The 24167-nt window shown below is 49.2% G+C and overlaps 1 protein-coding gene across 6 annotated transcripts in view, besides 4 other annotated features; it reads right to left on the bottom strand.

Moving 5' to 3' along the window:
- Positions 1–24167, bottom strand: part of COL26A1 (collagen type XXVI alpha 1 chain) — a 196637-nt gene that overhangs the window by 127578 nt on the left and 44892 nt on the right. For 5 of the 6 annotated variants that reach the window (XM_017011744.2, NM_001278563.3, XM_017011743.2 and 2 more), the window contains exon 2: positions 11348–11470. Coding sequence is in view for 4 of the 6 variants with exons in the window: in NM_001278563.3 (NP_001265492.1) it covers positions 11348–11470 (123 nt within the window). In the remaining 2 variants the exon portion in view is untranslated. Of the gene's footprint in view, positions 1–11347; positions 11471–17816; positions 17906–24167 lie in introns of those variants that run through there. The other variant, XM_017011745.1, reaches the window with a different exon arrangement.
- Positions 8621–9146: an enhancer, noted in NCBI's record as "NANOG hESC enhancer chr7:101065582-101066107 (GRCh37/hg19 assembly coordinates)". NCBI's record gives its function as "activates a minimal SCP1, AML or CMV promoter by ChIP-STARR-seq in naive and primed H9 embryonic stem cells {active_cell/tissue: H9 hESC(naive and primed)}" and the evidence as "EXISTENCE:reporter gene assay evidence [ECO:0000049][PMID:30033119]".
- Positions 9944–10495: an enhancer, noted in NCBI's record as "H3K4me1 hESC enhancer chr7:101064233-101064784 (GRCh37/hg19 assembly coordinates)". NCBI's record gives its function as "activates a minimal SCP1, AML or CMV promoter by ChIP-STARR-seq in naive H9 embryonic stem cells {active_cell/tissue: H9 hESC(naive)}" and the evidence as "EXISTENCE:reporter gene assay evidence [ECO:0000049][PMID:30033119]".
- Positions 10496–11047: an enhancer, noted in NCBI's record as "H3K4me1 hESC enhancer chr7:101063681-101064232 (GRCh37/hg19 assembly coordinates)". NCBI's record gives its function as "activates a minimal SCP1, AML or CMV promoter by ChIP-STARR-seq in naive H9 embryonic stem cells {active_cell/tissue: H9 hESC(naive)}" and the evidence as "EXISTENCE:reporter gene assay evidence [ECO:0000049][PMID:30033119]".
- Positions 19617–20160: an enhancer, noted in NCBI's record as "H3K27ac-H3K4me1 hESC enhancer chr7:101054568-101055111 (GRCh37/hg19 assembly coordinates)". NCBI's record gives its function as "activates a minimal SCP1, AML or CMV promoter by ChIP-STARR-seq in naive H9 embryonic stem cells {active_cell/tissue: H9 hESC(naive)}" and the evidence as "EXISTENCE:reporter gene assay evidence [ECO:0000049][PMID:30033119]".

Here is a 24167-nt window from a genome sequence, read left to right as displayed (position 1 = left end):
CCCTACTAAAAATACAAAACTTAGCTGGGCATGGTGGCACACGCCCAAAGTCCCAGCTATTGGGGAGGCTGAGATGGAAGAATTGCTTAAGCCCAGGAGGTCGAGGCTGCAGGCTGCAGTGAGCTATGACTGCACCAGTGCACTCCAGCCTGGGCAAAAGAAAGAGACCTTGTTTCAGAAAAAAAGAAAGAAAAGCAAAAAGAAAACCTTACATTTAATATCATCTTTAGTAGCAGAATGTTTTATTGTGAACAAACAATTCTCTCCACACTTACCACTCCTATTCAACATAGTGCTACAAGTCTAGCCAGTACACAGGCAAGAAAATAAAATAAAAGGCATACAGGCTGGGCGCAGTGACTCATGCCTATGATCCCAGCACTTTGGGAGGCTGAGGCAGGTGGATCACTTGAGGCCAGGAGTTCAAGACCATCCTGGCCAACATGGCGAAACCCCATCTCTATTAAAAATAAAAAATAAAAAAAATTAGCGGGCATGGTGGTGGGCCACCTGTAATCCCAGCTACTCGGGAGGCTGAGGCAGAAGAATTGCTTGAACCCGGGAGGTGAGGTTGCAGTGAGCTGAGATCGCACCACTGCACTCCAGCCTGGGTGACAGAGCGAGACTCCGTCTCAAATAAAATAAAATAAAAGGCATACAGATCAAAAGGAAAGGAATAAGACTGTCTCTGTTGACAAACAACATGATTGCCTCCATAGCAAATCTCAGGGAATCTACAAAAAACCTTTCAGAACTAGTGAATTCAGCTGCATTACAGGCTACGAGATCAATATATAAATATCAATTGTGTTTTTATAAACTAGCAAAGAACATATGGACATAGAAATTAAAAATACTGGCTGGACATGGTGACTCACACCTATAATCCCAGCACTTTGGGAAGCTGAGGCAGGCAGATCATGAGGTCAAGAGTTCAAGACCAGCCTGACCAACATGGTGAAACCCGTCTCTAAAAAAAAAAATACAAAAATTAGCTGGGTGCAGTGCTGCGTGCCTGTAATCCCAGCTACTCAGGGGGCTGAGGCAGGAGAATCGCTTGAACCCTGGAAGCAGAGATTGCAGTGAGCTGAGATCGCGCCACTACACTGCACTCCAGCCTGGGCAACAGAGTGAGACTCCGTCGAAAGAAAGAAAGAAAGAGAGAAAGAGAGAAAGAAATTAAAAATACAGCTTTACAAATTTTACCAAAAAATACCACTGACAATCACACAGAAAATGCAATAATTAGGTATGAATCTAACAAAATAAGTATAAGATTTGTATGCCCAAAACTACAAGATATCAAAGAAATCAATGAAGAAAGCTGGAAGAAATAAAAAGAGATCTAAGTAAATGGAGAGAGATACCATGTTCTTGGATTGGAAGACTCAACATGCTAAAAATACCAATTCTCCCCAAATAGATATACAGGTTAAATGCAATTCCTATTTTAAAAAATCCCATCAAGACTTTTGGTAGATATAGACAAGATTATTCTGAAATTTATATGAAAAGACAAAGGAACTGTAATAGCTAAAACAATTCTGGAGGCCAAGCATGGTGACTTACTCCTGTAATCCCAGCACTTTGAGAGACCAAGGCAGGAGGACTGCTTGAGGCCAGGAGTTTGAGACGAACCTGGGCAATGTAGCAAGATCCTATCTCTACAAAAAAAAATTCTTTTTAATTATCTGGGCATGGTGGCATGTGCCTGTAGTCTCAGCTACTCGGGAGGCTGAGGCAGGAGGATCACTTGAGCCCAAGAAGTCAAGGCTGCAGTGAGCTATGATTGAACCACTACACTCCAGCCTGGGCGACAGAGCAAAATCCTGTCTCAAAAAAAAAAAAAAAAAAAAAGTAAAAAAGAAAGGAAAAAAAAGAATAAAGTGAGAAGAATCAATCTATCTGATTTCAAAACTTATTATATAGCCATAGTAATCAAGACTGTGTGGTATTGGCAAAACACTAGTTACACAGATCAATGGACCAGAACAGAGAACTTAGAAAGAAAAAAAAATGTCCAAATGATTTTTGAGAAAGCTATAAAAGCAATTCAATAAAGGAGACGTCTTCAACAAATGGTGCTAGAACAATTAGGCATCCATAGGCCAAAAAAATAAAACTCAACCTAAACCTCACACCTTATGCAAAAAATAACTCAAAATGTATGATGAATTTAAATGTGAAACAGAAAACGATAAAACTTTTAGAAAAAAAAGCAGAGGCCAGGCATGGTGGCTCACACCTGTAATCCCAGCACTTTGGGAGGCTGAGGTGGATGGATCACTTAAGATCAGGAGTTTGAGACCAGCCTGGCTAACATGGTGAAACCCTGTCTCTACTAAAAATACAAAAATTAGCCAGGCGTGGTGGCAGGTGCCTGTAATCCCAGCTACTCAGGAAGCTGAGGCAGTAGAACTGCTTGAACCTGGAGGCAGAGATTGCAGTGAGCCAAGATCACGTCACTGCACTCCAGCCTGGCAACAGAGTGAGACTCCGTCTCAAGAAAAAAAAAAAAAAGAAAGAAAGAAAAAGAAAATTGATAAATTAGATTGCATCAAACATAAAAACTTTTGCTCTTCAAAAGACTGTTTAGAGGATGAAAATACAAGCCAGGGAATGGGATAAAATTATTTGCGGGCCAGGTGCGGTGGCTCATGCCTGTAATCTTCACACTTTGAGAGGCCGAGCGAGGCAGGAGGATTGCTTGAGTTGGAGACCAGCCTGAGCAACATAACAAGACTGTGTCTCAACACACACACACACATACACACACACACGACCACAAAAGACTGCAAAAACCACAACCTTGCACAAAGTCCACCACAACCTTACACATGCACAAAAATATATTTACATCTACCCAGCGACTGCCTGTCCAACCTTGAACTGACACCACCCTTGTTTTTGATACTTGTAGCCAAGGATAATTGATTCAGAACAATTATCTACTTCTCACTTTTTCTTTAAAAACCCTTATCTTCCTTTTCCTCCCTGAATACCCGCATCATTTACGATGCATGCATACTCCCGTTGCAATGCCCATTCTCAAATAAATATCATTCTCTTTGCCTTTTTTTTTTTTTTTTGAGACAGGGTCTCACTGTGTTGCCCAGGCTGGAGTGCAGTGGCGCAATCATAGCTCACTGCAGCCTCAAACCTCCCAGGTTCAAGCCATTCTCCCACCTCAGCCTCCTGAGTAGCTGGAACTACAGACATGCACCACCACACCCAGCTAATTTTAAAATTTTTGTAGAGACAGGGTCTCACTATGTTGCCCGGGCTGTCATTTCTTTCAGAGGGCTTCTCTCTGTTGCTTAAGTTGACACCTCCAACTCCCAAAAAAGCCTGGGGAACAACCTGGAAGACACTTTCCCCTTTCTCTTTCTTGTGTTATCATGACAATAAATCTAGAATATACTCACGCCGTAGAAATCACAAATGTGTAAAATAGCAAAAGAAATGTGTCGTAGGAAGAGGGGAACCAGGAGAGGCTGTTTACATTAGTCACACCATGAGGAGCAGACTCCATTCTCTTTTCCACACAAAAGTTTTAAGCCAACACAAATGAAAGCATCCAAAATGCTTCAAAGAATGAAGGGAACCAGAATTGGGTCCCCTACAGCTCCTGAAAATGGTGAAGACAGCCAGGTGCAATGGCTCGCACCTGTAATCCCAGCACTTTGGGAAGCCCAGGTGGATCACTTGAGGCCAGGAGTTCAAGACCAGCCTCGGCAACAAAGCAAGATCCCATATCTAAAACAAAAAATAATTTTTTTTTTTTTTAAGAAACAGTTTCACTCTGTCACCCAGGCTGGAGTGCAGTGGCACGATCTTGGTTACTGCAATCTCCGCCTCCTGGGTTCAAGTGATTCTCATGCCTCAGCCTCCCGAGTAGCTGGAATTACAGGTGCCTGCCACCATGCCTGACTAATTTTTGTATTATTAGTAGAGAAGGGGTTTTACCACATTGGCCAGGCTGGTCTCGAACTCCTGACCTCAAATGATCTGCCCACTTGGGCCTCCCAAAGTGCTGGGATTACAGGCATGAGCCACCATGCCCCGCCAAAAAAAATTTTTAATTAACCAGGTGTGGTGGCACACACCTGTAGTCCCAGCTACTCAGGAGGCTGAAGTGGAATGGCCACTTGAGGCCAGGAGTTCAAGACCAGCCTGGACAACAAAGCAAGATCTCATATCTACAAAAAACAAAATTTTTTAATTAGCCAGGCATATGGCATCCATCCATCATGGCACCCAGTTGGGAGGCTAAGGCATGAGGATCACTTGAGTCCAGGCATTCGAGGCCAAAGTGAGCTATGATTGTGCCACTGCACTCCAGTCTGAGCAACAGAGTGAGGCTCCCTCTCTTAAAGATAAATAAATAAGTAAATGATGAGGGGGAACAGACAAGAAATACACACATTTGCAAATTTCTATGTAAATGCTGGGGGTGAAATGTAGCAAGACACACTGAGCAGGCAGGATGGTAAGCAACAGAGTACCACACAAGGCGGCTACACAGGGCCCAGCTGGGGTTTGCCACCCTAACCTCAGAGAGCGGAATGCAAGATCAAGGCATGCCTAGGCCAGAACTGCCCGCTGGGAGCTGCCTCGGCTGACGTGCTGGGACCTGCTTCTGATTCTCTTCATAGCTCACCCATACTTTGGCCTCAGTCTGCATTCCCAGGGTTCTTATTACAGCAAGGCTCAGTGCAGGACCTTCCCCTGCAAACCTCACATCCCCTTCCAAGAACCTCTTGAGGCAGCCTTCTATCACCACCATCTTAGCCCTGGAGAAACTGAGGCTCAGAGGAAAAATGTTGACCAATGAGACATCCAGGGAAGTCTGCTAGGGATTCTGGAAAAGGCTGTACTCTCTGATAGGAGAAAACTGTGTCCCATCCCCTTCCTCTCTTTTTTGGGACACTGTGGTGTGAGACGTGATGCCTGGAGCTGCTGCTGCCCTTCTGCGACCTTGAGGAAGGTCATGGTGGACACACAGGTGTGGGTGGAGAGTTCAGTCAAAGGATCCCAGGATCTTCATGGCTGAGACCTGGCCGCCTCTCCCAGATAGATTGTGAGGTGAATATTCCCCCGTTATTGAAGCTTCTTTTGGTAACGTCATTTATAGTGATGACACAAGCCATTATGAGCCATGGGGAAACCAGTGCAGAAGACAGACCCTGCCTCAAAGTGCTCCCAGGAACCTTCCGAGTTCCTCCCACCCAGGCTCTGCTCGCTCAGGGAATTCTACCCAGCACGCAGACTCTTGCAGCAGACTCTTAAGAAAACTGAAAAACTATGCTAAAAAATTATGCTGGCCTGACGCAGCAGCTCATGCCTGTAATCTCAACACTTTGAGAGGCTGATGGGTGGATCACTTGAGGTCAGGAGTTCGAGACCAGCCTGGCCAACATGGTGAAACCTCATCCCTACTAAAAATACAAAAATTAGCCAGGTGTGGTGGCACACACCTATGGTCCCAGCTACTCAGAAGTCTGGGGTAGGACAATCGCTTGAACCCGGGAAGCAGAAGTTGCAGTGAGCTGAGATCACGCCACCGCACTCCAGCCTGGGTGATAGAATGACATTCCGTCTCCAAAAAAAAAAAAAAAAATTATGCTAAGAAGCACTGGGGGCCGGGCATGGTGGCTCACACCTGTAATCCCAGCACTTTGGGAGGCCGAGGGAGGCCGATCATTTGAGGTAGTTCAGGAGTTCGAGACCGACATGGCCAACATGGTGAAACCCCATTTCCACTAAATATACAGAAAAAAAAATTAGCCAGGTGTCCTGATGCACACCTGTAGTCCCAGCTACTTGGGAGGCTGAGGTGGGAGGATCACTTGAACCTGGGAGACAGAGGTTGCAGTGAGCCGAGATCACGCCACTGCACTCCAGCCTGGGTGACAGAATGAGACTCCATCTAAAACAAAACCCAGAGTTCTCTGACATCTCTGATCTGATTTCATCCTCCTAACCTAACCTCAATTCAGTAATGCTGCTTCATCTCCTGCAAGCCAGGTATGGGGAACACAGCAGCCAATGAGACAGTCCCGGACCTCCTAAGGCTCCCAGACTAGCAGAGCGGGCAGACGATGAGCAATTCGGCCAGGGAATGAACACTGCCTCCCAGGTTAAAGCGATTCTCCTGCCTCAGTCTCCTGAGTAGCTGGGATTAGAGGCACCCGCCACCACGCCTGGCTAATTTTTGTATTTTTAGTAGAGACAGGGTTTCACCATGTTGGGCAGGCTGGTCTCGAACTGCTGACCTCGTGATCCACCCATCTGAGCCTCCCAAAGTTATAGGATTACAGGCATGAGCCACCGCGCCTGGCCAAAATTTTTTTTAAATTAACTGGGCATGGTGGTGTGTGCCTGTAGTCCCAGCTACTCAGGAGGCTGAGGCAGAAGGATTGCTTGAGCCCAGGAGTTCAAGGCTGCAGTGAGCTATGATCACACCACTACACTCCAGCCTGGGGGACAAAGGGAGATCCTGACCCTTATAAAATAAAATAAAATATCCCTCCAGCTTCTGTGGAGAGAAGGAGCTAGAGCGGGGCAGGGTGGGGAGTGGGGAGACCAGTGAGATGGCTGCCACAAACCAGATGCTTCATATAGGCAAGGCCAGCAAAACCAGGACCTGAGACAGGAATGCATATGGAACCCCAGGGGACCAAAGGATAATGCTGCAACCTGTTGTCATCTTGCCTCTCCCTGCCCAGACAGCAGCCCCAAGGCCACAGACAGAGGGTGTGCACCCAATTCTAGCTCATTTATGAGTTACTAGTGAGAAAGAAAACTGTGTTAACCTCTCCTTCCCTAATAAATTATTAAATTTTTTTTGAGACGGAGACTTGCTCTGTCACCCAGGCTGGAGTACAGCAACATGATCTTGGCTCAGTGCAGCCTCCGCTTCCCAGGTTCAAGTGATTCTCCTGCCTCAGCCTCCTGAGTAGCTGGGATTACAGGTGTGCATCATCACACCTGGCTAATTTTTGTATTTTTAGTAGACACAGGGTTTCACCATGTTGGCCAGGCTGGTCTCAAACTCCTGACCTCAGGTGATCCACCCTCCTTGGCCCCCCAAAGTGCCGGGATTACAGGTGTGAGCCACCACACCCGGCCCATTCCCTAGTAAAATATAATAACAGCAGAAATTATGACAATTAAGATCAGCAATTTGGGATTTCTCTAAGAGAATGAAAATTAAGTTTTATTATTGTATTTATTTATTTATTTTCAGACACGGTCTCGCTCTGTCGCCCAGGCTGGAGTACAGTGGCACAATCACAGCTCACTGCAGCCTCGAACTCCTGGGCTCAAGCGATCCTTCCACCTAAGCCTCCCAAGTACAGGTGCGCACCACAACCCATGGCTGATGTTTTTTAAAAAATTTGTAAAAATGGGGTGGGTCTCACTGTGTTGCCCAGGCTGGTCTCGAGCTCCTGGCCTCAAGCAATCCTCCTGCCTCAGCCTCCTATGTAACTGGGACTACAGGTGTGAGCCACTGTCACTGGCCAAATTGTTTTAATTAGCAAGGTTCCCACTAGTTATATGTTATAGGCAAAGGGGAGACTTATGACAAATTCATGTCAGCCCTGACTGAATGTTCTGTTTTGGCCTCCGAACTCCAAGGAGTGAGTGAGAAGAACTCCCTGGAAAGTCAGTGAACACCACATCGAAGACCCCGGTCCTTCTTTTTTTTTGCGACGGAGTCTCACTCTGTCGCCCAGGCTGTAGTGCGGTGGTGCGATCTCGGCTCACTGCAACCTCCGCCTGCCAGGTTCAAGCAATTCTCCTCCCTCAGCCTCCCAAGTAGCTGGGATTACAGGCATGTGGCACCACACTCAGCTAATTTTTTTGTATTTTTAGTAGAGATGGGATTTCACCATATTGGCCAGGCTGGTCTCAAACTCCTGACCGTGTGATCCACCCACCTTATCCTCCAAAAATGCTGGGATTATAGGCGTGAGCCACCACGCCGGGCCGGACCCCAGCACTTCTGAAACATTGTTCAGATAATTACTTAAGTGGTAAAGGAGAGAACAACTATGCAACATTAATGATCACTTGAAAAATTTTCAGTCCAGGTCAGTGATTCAGGCGCTAGCTTGTCCAGCTTTTCTTATAGGTGCATTATTGTATTTTTCTTTTTTTTTGTTTGGTTTTTGTTTTGAGAGGAAGTCTCACTCTGTCGCCCAGGCTAGAGTGCAGTGGCACGATCTTGGCTCACTACAACCTCTGCCTCCCAGGTTCAAGCAATTCTCCCTGCCTCAGCCTCCTGAATAACTGGGATTACGGGTGCTCACCACCACACCTGGCTAATTTTCGTATTTTTAGTGGAGACAGGGTTTCTCCATGTTGGCCAAACTGGTCTCAAACTCCTGACCTCAGGTGATTCACCCGCCTCAGACTCCCAAAGTGCTGCAATTGCAGGCGTGAGCCACCGTGCCCGGCTGCGTTATTGTGTTTTGATAGTGTAACAGCTTTAACTTGTTGAGACCAGGCATGGTGGCTCACACCTGTAATCCCAGCAATTTGAGAGGCTGAGGCAGGAGGATCCCTTGAAGCCAGGAGTTCAAGACCAGCCTGGGCAACATGGCGAGACCCCTGTCTCTACCAAAGAAAAAGTAATTAGTGAGGCACGGTGATGCATGCCTGTAGTCCTAGCTATTCAGGCTGGCGCAGGAGGATCACTTCAGCCCAGCAATTGGAAGCTGCAGTGAGCCATGATTGCACCACTGCACTCCAGCCTGGGCAACAGAGCAAGATCCTGTCTCCAAAAAAAAAGAAAGAAAGAAAGAGTAGGACAGCCACTTCTCCAACAGAGCTCTGAGCCAAAGCCCAGCCTGTCAGGGTCACAGACAGATCAGACTTCAAAGACTTTTCTTCTCAGAAGCTGTTCCCAAATCAAGAGGCCATGACCTGGTAATCTGAAACTCCCTGCTGACGAGAAAGGCAGGAGAGTCTTGGAATTTAGCTCCTGGGGAAGTGGGGAAGGCAGGGGATAGGGAGTGTCTGTACCCTCTGCTGAAAAGGAAAAAGCTTTTTTTTTTTTTTTTTTTTTTCATTTTGGACCCACTGCCATCTCTCTAGTATAGCATTTAAAACCAGCATTTTTTTTTTTTTGAGATGGAGTTTTGTTCTTGTTGCCCAGGCTGGAGTGCAATGGCACAATCTCAGCTCACTGCAACCTCCTTCTCCCGGTTCAAGTGATTCTCCTGCCTTAGCCTCCAAAGTAGCTGGAATCACAGGTGCCCACCACCACGTCTGGCTAATTTTCGTATTTTTAGTAAAGACTGGGTTTCACCATGTTGGTCATGCTAGTCTCGAACTCCCGACCTCAGGTGATCCACCTGCCTCAGCCTCCCAAAGTGCTGGGATTACAGGCGTGAGCCACCGCAACTGGCAAAAGCAGCTGTTTCTAATAAAAATGAAAATGAATGACATTCCGTTTACCTAGCCATTCCCCTTGCAGAATGACCTGTATCAAAACACTTGTATGCAATAGGGGTCTCAAGTGAAGCATCTCTACTATTAAAGAAGAATGAAAATAGGAAATCACCATTTGGCAAACACCATAGCATTAACTGTTGCAAGCAATATGATAGTATGATGAGAAACAGGATGTTCGTATAGGTTTAAAATGTCTCCCCACAACATACATGTAAAAGACAAAGGGAAAGATAATTATGCAACAGTGGAGAAACCTGGTAGATACCATCATAAGCAAGCGATCAAAGTTAACATCACCAGTCATGAGACGTAGCAATTTCTTTTTTTTTTTTTCCAGGCTGGAGTGCAGTGGCGCAATCTCGGTTTACTGCAATCTCCACCTCCTGGGTTCAAGTGATTCTCCTGCCTCAGCCTCCTCAGTAGCTGGGATTGCAGGCGCCCACCACCACGCCTGGCTAATTTTTGTATTTTTAGTAGAAACTGGGTTTCGCCATGTTGTCCAGGCTGCTCTCAAAGTCCTGACCTCAAGTGATCCACCCGCCTCATCCTCCCAAAGTGCTGGGATTACAAGCATGAGCCACCGCACCCAGCCAAGATTAATTTAAATCAGTAGACTTGGAGTAAAGCAGGTTGCCCTCTATAATGTGGGTGGGCCTTGTCCAATCAGTCGAAGGCTTTAAGAAAAAGACTGACTTCCCCGGAGGAAGGAGGCATTTGACCAGCAGCCAGCCCATCTCAAGCTGCAACATCAGCTCTCCTCCCTGGGTCTCAGCCAGCCAGCCCACCCTGCAGGTTTGGAATAATCGCCAGTCTCCATAATCATACAAGCCAATTCCTTACCATTTCAATCTCTCTCCCACTCTCCCTCTCCCCCATCCCTTCCTATTGGTTCTCTGGAGAACCCTGACCCAGGCAAAATGTCCCGTTAGGGAGGGCACAAAGGAGGGGAAGGGATTTGGAGTTTGAGGACAGCGGCTCCACGGTGCTTGGGGTAGAGGCCCCAGGCTGGGCAGGCTGTGGGGAGAGTGGTTTGGGGAAGCCAGTCCCTGGAGCTAAGCACGGCCTGGAGAGGAGGAAGAAGGGAAAAGAAGGAGAGTTGGAACTTTGGAGACCGTGAATGCTGGTGTCTGACAGCAAGATCTCTCTGCGGATGCTGAAGAGTCCCTGAAGCCTGTGGTCTGGTCAGGGCTGGTGAGAGGGAGGGGCTGGTGAGAGGGAGGGGCTGGTGAGAGGGAAGGGCTGACTATGGGCGGGGCTGGTGAGAGGGAGGGGCTGGTGAGGGGTGTGGCTGGTGAGGGGCGTGGCTGGTAGGGGCAGAGCTGGTGAGGGGCAAGGCTGGTGGGGGCAGGGCTGGTGAAGGGTGGGGCTCATGAGGGTCAGGGCTGGTGAAAGGCAGGCCTCGTGAGGGGCAGGTCCAGTAACAAGTAGGGCCAGTGAGAGGGACATGCCTGGTGAGTGGGGCAGTGCTGCCAGGGGCGAGGCCTGTGATGGATGGGGCCAAAGACAGGCTGGATTTCCAAGGTCATTGTAGCCCCTCGTTCCAGCCTGGAGCCATAAGGCTGGTTGGTTCCCTCTTCAACCCCACCTGGCCTTCCCCGACCTCGGATCCCATACCCCACTCATCTGTGGTGGTCTTCTGTCTGTCAAACACCCACTGGGTTGTGTGGTTCTGTTGCGGTAGGAGCATGTCTCTGACATCTTTGCACACACACATATATACCCTATATACACACACCCATGCCTTATATACAGAAGGTGCTCCATAAATGCATGCTCAGCCTTTGTCTGTGAGCACAGCCCAGCCTCTCCCAGAGCCATCCTGGGACTGGTTTTGTCCGAGGGAATGGGAGGGAAGGGCAGAGCAGCCTAGCCCAGCGGCCTTTACCTTACGAGGTTGGCGCAGGGCCCCGGCCACCGGCAGCTCTGGTACACGCGCTGGACCACCGTCTCCGAGCCATTCTGCACCTGGCAGGACACCGTCCGTGTCACTGTGTGATGGCACCAGTGCCTGTGGAGAGAGCAACAGTCACATGAGCCCTGCCTGTTCCCAGAGCTGCCAACTTCGGGTCAGGGGGCCGTGCTGGACAGGGAGGGGCCCCCGCAAACCTGGGGTGGAGGCTCGCTCTCTTGGATGGGGGGCCCACTGAGACCCTCTGTCTCGGTCTGAGGGGAAGAGAGAACACTTGCAACCCTTGGCCACCAAGCCCTGGCATCATTCCCGTCACTGACCACTCAGTGTGGAATTGGTGAGAAAGACTCAGCCCTGCCCGTGGAAATCTCACCCTGGTGGGGAGAGGAGATGACACAGTCCATAGGAACAGCAGGTAACACGTTCCACCACGTGGTGAACACACAAGCTACAGGAACGGAGCAGGGCATCTCGCCCAGCAGGCCCTGAGGCCACCAGCTGAGTAGTGCAAGATAAGTTAGCCAACCGACCAACCGACCAACTGACCAATGTGTGGGGGCCGTGAGAGGGGACGAAGCCAGCAGGGGAAGCAGCGGTGTAACAGGCACAGAGCGGAGAGAGACCACGGCAAGTCTAGAGACTTGCCTGCAATGGGAAGTGGCCAGGCCAGGCACAGTGGCTCACACTTGTAATCCTAGCACTTTAGGAGGCTGAGGCAGGAGGATCTCTTGAGCCCAGGAGTTCAAGATCAGCCTGAGCCACATAGTGAGACCCTGCCTCTACAAAATAAAAATTAAAAAATTAGCCCAGGCGTGGTGGCACACACATGTAGTCCCAGCTACTCAGGAGGCTGGGGCAGGGGATGGCTTGAGCCCAGGATCATAGTGGCTATGATCATGCTACTTCACTACAGCCTGGGCAACAGAGTGAAACCCTGAAGAGAGGAGGAGAGGAAGGGAGAAGAGGGGAGGGGAGGGGAGGGGAGGGGAGGGGAGGGGAGGAGGAATGAGAGAGAAAGAGAGAGAGAAGGAGAGAGGGAGGGAGGGAGGAAGGGAAAGAGCCAGAGAGAGAGAGAGAGAGAAAGAAAGAAAGAGCCAGAAGGCTGAAGGAAGGGGAGGAGCCAGGAGAAAGGAAGAGACATGTGACCTGCCGGGCTAGGGAATAAATGCCTTCAGAGTACAAGAAGCAAGGGGCAGCAAGCTTGGGCAGTGGAGAGGAGGAAAGAGGAAGGGACGTACACAAACAATACGGGATCAGGTTAAGGTGCTCCCACCTCCTCCTCCCATCCCCATAGCCTAGAAATTGAAAATTAAAAAATAAGTCCCTGGCCGGGTGGTGGCTCAGCACTTTTGGGGTCCGAGGAGGATGGATCACTTGAGCCCAGGAGTTTGAGACCAGCCTGGGCAACATAGCGAGACCCCATCTCTACAAAAATATTTAAAAATTACCTGTGGTGGCACACGCCTATAGTCCTAGCCACTCAAGAGGCTGAGGCAGGAGTATCACTTGAGCCCAGGAGGTTGAGGCTACAGTAAGCTGTGATCATGCCACTGCACTCTAGCCTGGGTGACAGAGCGAGACCCTGTCTAAAAATAATAATAAAATAAAATAAGAAAAAAAGTCCTCAAGGGCATTGGAAAGAGAGAAGCAATGGGCCAGACATTTGGAGGGGTCCCTAAGAGACAGAAAGTAGATGGGCCCACATTGAAGGCAAAAATCACAGCCAGAAACACACAAAAGAGGACCGGGGCTGAAGCTAGGAGCCACATGGGGGCACAGATGCAGATGAGGAGGTAGAGAGGGACCCAAAGGTGACCATCAGAGAGATTGGTTAGGGGACCACCATAGAAAGAGCTGGACAGGTAGGACCCGGGTCCTTGTCCCTGCTGGTTTCAGGAATCAGGCATTGGAGGCTGAGTGCGGTGGCTCACACTCATAATCCCAGCATTTTGGGAGGCCAAGGTGGGAGAATCGCTTGAGCTTAGGAATTCTAGACTAGCCTGGGCAACATAGCAAGATCCTGTTTGTCTCTACAAAAAGTATATATATACGACTGGGCATGGTGACTCATGCCTGTAATCCCAGCACTTTGGGAGGTCAAAGTGGGCGGATCACCTGAGGTCAGGAGTTCGAGACCAGCCTGGCCAACATGGAGAAACCCTGTCTCTACTAAAAATGCAAAAACAAATAGCCAGGCTTGGTGGCACACACCTGTAGACCCAGCTACTTGGGAGGCTGAGACGGGAGAATCACTTGAACCCAGGAGGCAGAAGTTGCAGTGAGCCGAGATCGCACCACTGCACTCTAGCCTGGATGACAGAGTAAGACTCCATCTCAAGATATAAATATATTATAGATATAGATATCTATAGATATATCTCTATATCTATGTCTAGATATAGAGATATATCTCTATATCTATGTCTAGATATAGAGATATATCTCTATATCTATGTCTAGATATATAGATATACCTGTATCTATAGATATGTAGAGATACATAGATATGATAGTGCCACTGCACTTTGGCCTGGGTGACAGAGCGAGACCCTGTCTCTATTTAAAAAAAAAAAAAAAAGATATTAGGCATTGGATTCACCTGTCCTAAGGTAGGTATGGTCACAGGAGTGGGTGCTGGCTGACCTCAAAAACTGGTGACCTTTCAGTCTTGGGGGATGGAAAAAAGAAAAAAAAAAAAAAGCTTGTGACCTCCAGGAGAAACAGGGTCACTCTCAAAGTCAGACAGATAAATGAATTCTTACACACTCGTTTCCCATTCTTCATCCATACCTCCAGCCCACCAACAGACAAATTCTCAGGAAACAGAAACAAGCTAATGGAAAACCCCAGATACCAAGACTTTCAAATTATTTGAGGAAAAAAGGCCAGTATCATGGAAGAAAGGCACCAACTCAACAGGCAATAAATCACATCCCCTTAAAAAATAGTAAAGCAAATAGATGGAGATAATTTTTTAAAGCATAATTAATGTCCTCAAAGAAATAAGACAATGTATCACTCACTAAAAAATTCTGGCCAGGCATGGTGGCTCACACCCGTAATCCCAGCACTTTGGGAGGCTGAGGCGGGTGGATAGCTTGACCCCAGGAGTTTAGACCAGCCTGGGCAACATGGTGAAACACTGTATCTACAAAAATATACAAAAATTAGCCAGGCATGGTCCCTGACATGCCTGTGGTCCCAGCTACTCAGGAGGCTGAGGCAGGAGGATCGCTGGAGCACAGGAGTTTGAGACTGCAGTGAGCCATGATCGCACCGCTGCACTCCACACTGGGTGACAGAGCAAGACCCTGTGACATACACACACAAAAAAAATGAAATTAAAAAAATGCATTATCTTAGAAGTGAAATGTATGACTATGAAAAACAGAATGGAAACAGCTAAAGGGCAAACCGATGAGCTGCAAATCTAAGCTGTGACCTTTCCCAGTAGCCACTGCAAAAAGAAAAGGAGATGGAAAACAGGCAGAAACAGGCAACAAGGGACCTAGAGGAAGACCAAGGACCAACATCTATATAGTAGTAGCTCTGGAAGGCATGATCAAAAAAGAACAAAGAGAAGCATGTACTTGAAGAAATAACAAGAAAATTTACAAGAGCTGAAGAAAGACATGAGTTCAGGCTGGGTGTGGTAGCTCATGCCTGTAATCCCAGTACTTTGGGAGGCCGAGGTGGGTGGATCACTTGAGGTCAGGAGTGTAGTGGCATGATCATGGCTCACCACAGCCTCAACCTCCTGGGCTCATGCAATCCTCCCATCTCAGCCTCCCAGATAGCTGGGACCACAGGTGTGCGCCAACATGCTGGCTAACTTTTGCATTTTTGTAGAAACAGGGTCTAGCTATGTTGCCCAGGCTGGTCTCAAACTCCTGGGCTCAGGTGATCGTCCCACCTCGGCTTCCCAAAGGGCTGGGATTCCAGGCGTGTGCCACCATGCCCTGCTAAACTCAGGTTTAATAGACATGAAGAACAAGAAAAAAAAATTCCATATAGAGATTTAAATGTATAAGCAAATATTAGGTATAATCTTACATCAAAAAATTTCAAAAATCCTGACTACTGGACAATTTTCTAGGAAAATACATATTACCAGTACTAGCACACTCAAAAATACGTGAAAGGGGTTGGGTGCAGTGGCTCACGCCTATAATCCCAGCACTTTGGAAGGCTGAGGTGGGAGGATCACTTGAGCCCAGAAGTTCCAGACTAACCTGGGCAACACGGCAAGACCCCATCTCTATACAATAAAAAGTAAAAATTAGCCAGGCATGGTGGCACATGCCTGTGGTCCCAGCTACTCGGGAGGCTGAGGCAGGAGGATCGCTTGAGATCAGGGATCAAGGCTGGAGAGAGCTATGATCGCACCACTGCACTCCAGTCTGGATGACAGAGCCAGACCCTGTCTCAAAACAAAACAAAACAAAACAAAAACATGGAAGAAAAGGGAAAGTAGTGAAAAGTTGAGCCCTCTTCTCACAGGCACCAGGAAACCTAGTTTAAAACCAGGTTCTGCCACAAACCTGCTGTATGACTTAGGCAGAGTGATGTCCCTTCTCTGAGCCTCAGTTATATTTAAAATCTAACTTTTAAGGTTATGATGAGGCTGGGCACAGTGGCTCACGCCTGTAAACACAGCACTTTGAGAAACCAAGGCGGGTAGATCATCTGAAGTCAGGAGTTCGAGACCAGTCTGGCCAACATGGTGAAACCCAGTCTCTACTAAAAATACAAAAAATTAGCCGGGCATGGTGGAGGGCGCCTGTAATCCCAGCTACTGGGGAGGCTGTGGCAGAAGAGTCGCTTGAACCTGAGAGGCGGAGGTTGCAGTGAGCCAAGATCGCACCACGGCACTCCAGCCTGGGCGACAGAGAGAGAGACTCCGTCTCAAAAAAAAAAAGGGGGGGGGTTATGATCAGGACTAAATGAACACATCCCAGTCAGTAGTGTGTAAATCATGCAGCATTACCAAAATCAAGGCATCATTCTTAATCAACTGGTTACTTAAACCCTACAAAGGAATCTAACAGCTTAAAGACAGTCCTAGTTTGCAGATGGAAAAGAAAGTCTAAGAGGTTAAACTTCATTGCCCATAGCTACAGCTCAAACCACAGGCTGAGCTGCAAAGGGAGTCTAGTCTTCCTGACCCGAGGACTGGCGGGATCCCACCTACCCAGTACAAACTGTGAATTCCACCTCTGCCAATTAAAAAGGTCCTGAAACTGTGGGAGACTTCAGCAGCCTAGGCCCTTCCTTTGATTCTACTGGAAAGCCTCAGCTCCAGCTCAAGCACTCAGTGTGTGTTTCCAAAAAGAAAGGTGAGCCGGGCGCAGTGGCTCATGCCTGTAATCCCAGCACTTTGGGAGGCCGAGATGGGCGGATCACATGAGGTCAGGAGTTTGAGATCAGCCTGGCCAACATGGCAAAACCTCGTCTCTAATAAAAATAAAAAATTAGCCGGGTGTGGTGGCAGGTGCCTGTGATCCCAGCTGCTCGGGAGGCTGAGGCGGGAGAATTGCTTGAGCCCGGGAGGTAGAGGTTGCAGTGAGCCGAGTTCGTGCCACTACACTCCAGCCAGCGTGACAGAGCAAGACTCCGACACACACACACACACACACACACACAAACACAGAGTGAGAGCGAGAGCGAGCGAGAGAGAGAGAGAGAGAGAGAGAGGTGACTTTCCTCAGGATGGTTTAATGTGGGATCCTGAGATCCGCCCGAGGGTTCTAGAACAGACAGGCCGTCGTCCAGCATCTCTGAACCACACTGAGTCAGGGCTTTCCATAGAGAAATGAGCTGTGAATTGGAAAACATTTCCAAATACCTCAAATCACCGTCCCCATAACATTTGGTCTTTAAATGGGCTGGAAATGGCTTCCAAAAATCAAAACTTGGCCAAAAACAACGAAGAAGGGAGGCAGAGACAAGGAAAGGGCTCCAGGCCTTTCCAGATGGAGCTCTAAAGCCTGTGCATCCCCAGGTAGCCGCGGTTGTGGGGACCCCCATTGCCTTGCCCCTAGGATCCCTGCGTCCTGAGTGTTTTGTCTGCCTCTGTCTGCTGTCTGGTGGTGTCGTCCTGCCACCGCCCACCTGCGCACCTCAGCTCCTGACTATGGCGGGTGCACAGCAGTGGGTGAACAGTGCTCTGGGGGCCATAAAATAACTGCACCCAGAAAGGTGCTTAGCAGGAGACACATGTCCCTTTCACGACCCTCCTGGAAGGACTGACCCAGGAGGACAGAACTGGGACATGGCAGGCCTGGTCCTCGAACTGCCAAGAAATGAACACACTCCCGGCAGCCTCCATCAGGATGGCAAGGGACTGGCATTATCTCTGGGCATCATCTCAGCAATGTTCCTTCCTCATTTCCCTTCCCTTCTCCCCAGCTGAGCACTCAGGGAGGGTCCAAGACAGTAAACTCACTCCTAGCAAAGGTCTTGAGGACGGATCTGCTCCCAAACAAGTCTCCTTTTCTTTTTCTTTTCTTTCTTCTTTTCTTTTTCTTTCCTTTCCTTTCATTTCCTTTCTTTTCTTGAGATGGAGTTTTACTCTTGTGGCCCAGGCTGGAGTGCGATGGCATGATCTCAGCTCATTACAGCCTCCGCCTCCTGGGTTCAAACAATTTTCCTATATCAGCCTCCCAAGTAGCTGGGATTACAGTCACCCGCCACCATACCCGGCTAATATTTTGTATTTTTAGTAGAGACTGGTTTCGCCATGTTGGCCAGACTGGTCTGGAACTCCTGACCTCAAGTGATCTACCTGCCTTAGCCTCCCAAAGTGCTGGGATTATAGGCACGAGCCACCGCGCCCGGCCACAAGTCTCTTTTTCTTGCAAGAGGCGGCCCACTTCACCTAGGGGGAGGAGCAATCAAACCGTCCCGAGCCACCACCAGCTCAAGGCTTGCTTGCACAGTACTTTCACCCCACCAGGCGTTTGGCTCTGTGACTTGGCTGAGCCATCAAATCCTTAATTGGCGGTTAATAGAGAAAACAAGTGCTAAGTGATTTCAGGAAATCATGTCATGATGCGATAGAGAGATCTTCAGGACACTTCCCAGGTTCATGCCCATCTCGGAATGTGACCAGTCAACCCCTCTCCGAGGCTGCCTGCTGCCCTAAGAGATGCTGCTGAAGCAGCCTCTTCCCCCCATTGCCCTGGTGACACGGGACAGGGGAGCCCCAAAATTGAGGCTTAGCCAGGGAGGGTTCTTAGTTTCCCCCAGGAAAGAATTCAAGGACAAGCCAGTGGTGTTGCAACTTTTATTGAAGTGGCAGTGCACAGCAGCAGCAGAGGTCCTGCTCCCTGCAGAGCAGGGCTACCCCAGAGGCAGTGTGCCCAGAGTAGCAGCTCAGAGGCAGGGCTGCACTCATATCTATACCCACTTTTTTTTTTTTTTTTTTTTTTTGAGACGGAGTCTCGCTCTGTGGCCCAGGCTGAAGGGCAGCGATGCAATCTTGGCTCATTACAACCTCCGCCTCCCAGGTTCAAGGGGTTCTCCTGTCTCAGCCTCCCTAGTAGCTGGGATTACAGGTGCACACCACCACGCCTGGCTAATTTTTATACTTTTAGTAGAGAGGGGGTTTCACCATATTAATCAGGCTGGTGTCAAACTCCTGACCTCAAATGATCTGCCCGCCTGGGCCTCCCAAAGTGCTGGGATTACAGGCATGAGCCACTGTGCCGGCCCCACTTTTAATTGTATGCAAATTGGGGGTGGTTTATGCGTAAACTTCCAGGATGAGGGTGGTAGCTTTAGGGTTGTTGGGTCGTTGTCATGGAAAGGGGTGGTAACTCCTGGTGTTGTCATGGCAATGGGAAACTGACATGGCGCACTGGTGGGCATGTCTTATGGGGAGGCGCTTCTGCCCCGATCTGTTTTGTTTAGCTAGTCCTCAATTTGGTCTGGTGTCCAAGCTCTGCCCCTGGAGTCAAGTTCCACCTCCTACCTCACCACCTCTACCCCAGCCTCAGGCTTGGCCTTCCAAGCCCCAGTGCTCCTAACTGAGCTTTGCTTTGAGGGTTGATCTCATGCGTCCCCTCCCTCCCCAGGACACTTGAGTCCCGAGCCTGAGTCAGAGACCAGGGCTTTTGTTTTTTCTTTTGTTTTGTTTTGGAATGGAGTCTTGTTCTGTTGTCCAGGTTGGAGTGCAGTGGCACAATCATAGCTCACTGCAGCCTTGACCTCCTGGGCTCAAGCAATTCTGCAAGGCCCCAAGGCCTTGCCAGGGCCCCCCTCCTTTCCACCAGAACCACACAGTCTGTCCCCACTTCCTCATCCTGAGCTCTGTCCTGGCCCCCTGTTGAGTCACCACTGTGCCTGCCTGCTTGCCTAGACAGTGGTCACACACCGTCATGTCCCACAGGACACTGCAGTACACACAATGCCAACCTGTCCAATCCAACTGAATCCATCACTATTCAACCCCGACTTGCTCCTCCAGCTTGGAGGCCAGCACCTCTAAGTTCCCCGTTTCCTTACCAGGAGCAAATCACCCAGACTCCACCTTCTCCTTTCCTCCCTCCCTTCCCTGCCTCCTTACGGCCAATTAGGCACCGTGCCTGCAAGTCCGTGTCCTGACGCCCCTCCCATGGTGGTCCTGAACCTCGGCCCCTCCTGCCCTCCCAGCCTGCAGTCTCCTCTATCTACCACCAGAGGGCGCGCTCTCAAGCACAGACGTGGCCGTGTCCCTCCCGCGAGCCTTCCCTGACCCTCCAGCCAGGAAAGGTTCTCCTGTCCCACAGGGCCCCCTTGTATGCCTCTGTCTTAGCCTTCGTCCTATGGGAAGACTCCCAGCTCCTGAAGACGGCGGACACAGGGCAGGCCTGGTAAAGTTCTGTTGCTCCGACCCCAACCCCTGCATCCCAGAAGGAGCCCTCCCATCCACAGTCACTCAGCTCAACCACAGCAGCTGCTCTGGGCTGTGGTCTGTGCCAGGACCTGAGCCCCAGCAGGATCTGAGCCATCTCAAGGTTGGGGGTGTCCAGCTTCAGGCCCAGCTCCCCAGCACCACACCTGCCCTCACTGTTCTAATTACCTGGCCACACCTGCCCAATCCCTCAGAAAGGCCAGTGCCAGTGAGGTTGCCTGCCAACTGTGTTCAAGAAGCTCTGTTAGAACTAAGGTTTGCCCAGCCTGGGCAACGTAGCAAGACCCCAGCTCTACAAAAAAAAATTAGAAAAAAAAATTAGCTGGGTGTGGTGCCTCATGCCTGAAATCCTAGCACTCTGGAAGGGTGAGGTAGAAGAATCACTTGAACCTAGGAGGCAGAGGTTGTAATGAACTGAGATCGTGACATTCCACTCCAGCCTGGGCTACAGAGCAAGACTCCGTCTCAAAACACACACACACACACACACACACACCAAAATTAGCCGGGCGTGGTGGTGCACACCTGTAGTCCCAGCTACTCAGGAGGCTGAGGCAGGAGAATCTCTTGAACCCGGGAGAACTCAATCATAAGATGTTTGTTATATATTTTTTCCTTTCTCTCTGACCTTTTCATCCTTTATGCATGATTACATGTACAGTCATTTCAACAGACAGTAGTCACTAATAATTCACTACCTTCCTCTCCTAGTCCCAGGCAGGCTGTCCAACAAGATTAATAAACTTCTTTTCTTAAGAACAATGATCCTTAGTCATGTAACTTCTTTTGTGACAACCAAAAGTTGCTAAGATGCAGGTACGGTAAAACAAGAACCCACTATTTTTCCCTAGTTTGCTCTTCTGTAATAACTTAGCATTCAGGAGTCATGTTATTGTGAAACCTAAGACTGGTCTTTGCAATACTTTTTAGAGTTTGCATTCAGATGAACTGATGAACCAACGAACACCAGCTGGCCCAGCAATCCATGACCCTCCACCACCCAGAAATGGACTTGGTGCACAAAGATAGTTTTAACACCCTTAAGAGTTCATGCCCAACCAATCAGTAGCACCCATTCCCTAGCCCCCTGCCCACCAAACCAACCTTAAAAACCCTAGCCTCTGGCCAGGTGCGGTGGCTCACACCCATAATCCCAGCACTTTGGGAGGCTGAGGCGGGTGGATCATGAGGTCAGGAGATCAAGACCATCCTGGCTAACATGGTGAAACCCTGTCTCTACTAAAAACACAAAAAATTAGCCGGGCGTGGTGGTGGGCACCTGTAGTCCCAGCTACTCGGGAGGCTGAAACAGGAGAATGGCATGAACCCGGGAGGTGGAGGTTGCTGTGAGCAGAGATCACACCACTGCACTCCCGCCTGGGCAACAGAGCGAGACTCCGTCTCAAAAAAAAAGACCCTAGCCTCTGAAATCTCAGGAAGGTGGATTTGAGAACTATCTCCTGTCCTCCTCGCTCAGTTGCCTTGAAATAATTAAATGCTTTCTCTGCTGCAACACCTGCTGTTTCAGTATTTTGGCTGCATCTGCATGGTGGGTGAGAACCCTGATCAGGTGGTAACACACCTTGATCTACTTCCAGCTTCTACTTCCAGCTTCCAGAACTATGAGAAGATAAACTTCTTTTGTTTAAGCCACCCAGTCGGTGGCATGGCAGCCCTGGCAAATGAATACATGTACATTCTTCTGTTCGGTCTTCTCAACAATGTGACATGCAGGAATTTTACAGATAAGAAACTCCAGAGAAGACCACAAGTCACAGAATGAGTATGTAGTAAATTTATGCCTTGAAACTCAGTCTTCTCATTCCCAACCCCATGCTCCATCCACTTTGCTAATGAGAACAGGTGGATAATCAGAGAGCAAATAAAATATCCCCTCATAGGTCCTTCTTACCCATATCCCTCAAGGACCAGGAAAAATAGCAAGGAGGAGGAACTATCCCTACTCCTGTTTGAAACCAGTGAGATGAGAGTTGAGTGTGGTTCAGACCCCAGCCAAGCGCATGGAGTGGTTTCTCTTCCCCTCCTCATTCTGCTACCTAAGCAAGGTGTCCTGATCATCTTCACCCAAATCTGGGTGGTAAGTACTGTTATTATTCTACTTTTACAGAGAAGGAAACTGAGGCACAGGAAGGAGTAAATAACATGTCCAAGGCAACAACAAGTCAACGGGCAACTCTTAGACACTTTGCTAAACAGCCAGACGATCTGGGTCTTGGCACGTGGCTGTCTGTCTTCTTGAGGCCATGCCTCTAGGAGAGGAAGACCTTGACTGGGGAGGCAGTAAACTGCTGCTGGGAACTGTGGAAGACCAGGAGCCAGCAGAGACAGGGGCCTGGGTCTTAGGAGAGAGTTGGGATCCAAGCTAGATCTGCACAGCCGCAGCAAGGAGCCAAGTCTAACAACATGAAATACAACCAGGCAAATATGAAGTCCTGCACTGCAGCCCCAGAGCCCAGAGGACAAGCCTCAGATGGGATGTAGAGGTTCTTGCCAACAATAAGTTCAGCATGAGTCAACAGAGTTGTGGCCTCTACAAATCAAAGGCCATCCCAGGCTGTCTTACTAGCAAAATAGCATCAGGAACACACCTTGTTCCCCTCCATGCCCACCAGCCCTTGTGGTAGATGTTGGGCTGTGCCACCCAGATCCCCTGCATTGAGAAAGGCTTTTAGCCCCAGCTACAGGAAGTGCTGTCAACAGACATCCATCATTCAGCTGCTCAGAGTCACCTCATCCAAGGTCCCAGCTCTTCCTGGGGCACCCTCCATCCTGTGACTGGTGGAGGCGCACTTGAAAAGCCTGGACATATCCCTGCCTGGGGACAACGCTGAAAGAGCATCCCAGCTGCAGAGCCTCATGGGGTCTGGGGCAGCTGTCCTGGCCTATATGGAGGCTCGTCTCCTTCTGCTCATTCCTGCCTCAGTCCCCTCCCTTCCCCAGGGATTTATCCTAAAAGCCATCCCTAATAAACACCCTCCATGTTAGACTCTGGCTCAGAATCTTCTTCCACTGATGCAGTATAGGTGAACCCCAGTGTTGGGGCTTAACCAGGGAGGGTTCTTGGCTTAGCCTAGGAAAGAATTCAAGGGCAAGCCAGTGGTATTAGCAAATTTATCAAAGCAGCAGTGCACAGCAGCAGCAGACGTTCTGCTCTTTACAGAGTAGGGCTACCCCACAGGCAGTGTGCCCAGAGTAGCAGCTCAGAGGTAGAGCTTCACTCCTATTTATACCCATCTTAATGGTATGCAAATTAACAGGCAGGTTATTCATAATTTCTGTATAACCCGCCCCTTAATTTGCATATGATTAAGTGGTAACTTCCGGGTGATAACTTTGAAGGGGTGCTAACTGCTGGGTTATCAGGTCATTGCCATGGAAAGGGGCTGTAACTTCTGGGTGTTGCCATGGCAATGGTAAATCGTTATGGTGCTAGGGGGTATGTTTTATGGAGAGGTGCTTTCACCTCTTCCCTGTTTTAGCTAGTCCTCAATTTGGTCCAGTGTCTGCACCCCACCTCCAGAGTCAAATCCCATCTCCTACCTCACTGAGGACTCTCCCTGTGTCTGCCATGAGGTTCAATAGAAATGCAGAGAAACTGCCACCCAGAGCCCCGGGAGGAGATATCTATGGCCACTGTCCTACAAGCAGAAGGTGATTGAGCTGGGAGGGAGGGGAGGCTGATGTCAGAGTTAGAGCCGTGAGCTTCCATGGGAAGAAAAGTCATCACCCGGGATTTGGCCAGGTGAAAAGGAGGTCCCATGGCTCCTCAGGCTCAGACCTGCCCTCTCTAGAAGAACAGGTGAGGGCTGTTGAGGACAGGTTCCTCAGGAATATCGAGCAGAGACAAGCGGAGGGCCATGGTGAAGGCAGCCAGCTTTCTGC

This window comes from Homo sapiens, chromosome 7, assembly GCF_000001405.40.
Source record: "Homo sapiens chromosome 7, GRCh38.p14 Primary Assembly".
NCBI lineage: Eukaryota > Metazoa > Chordata > Mammalia > Primates > Hominidae > Homo > Homo sapiens.
Note: the sequence above shows the minus strand (reverse complement) of the source record. Positions and strands in the feature narration are given on the sequence as shown.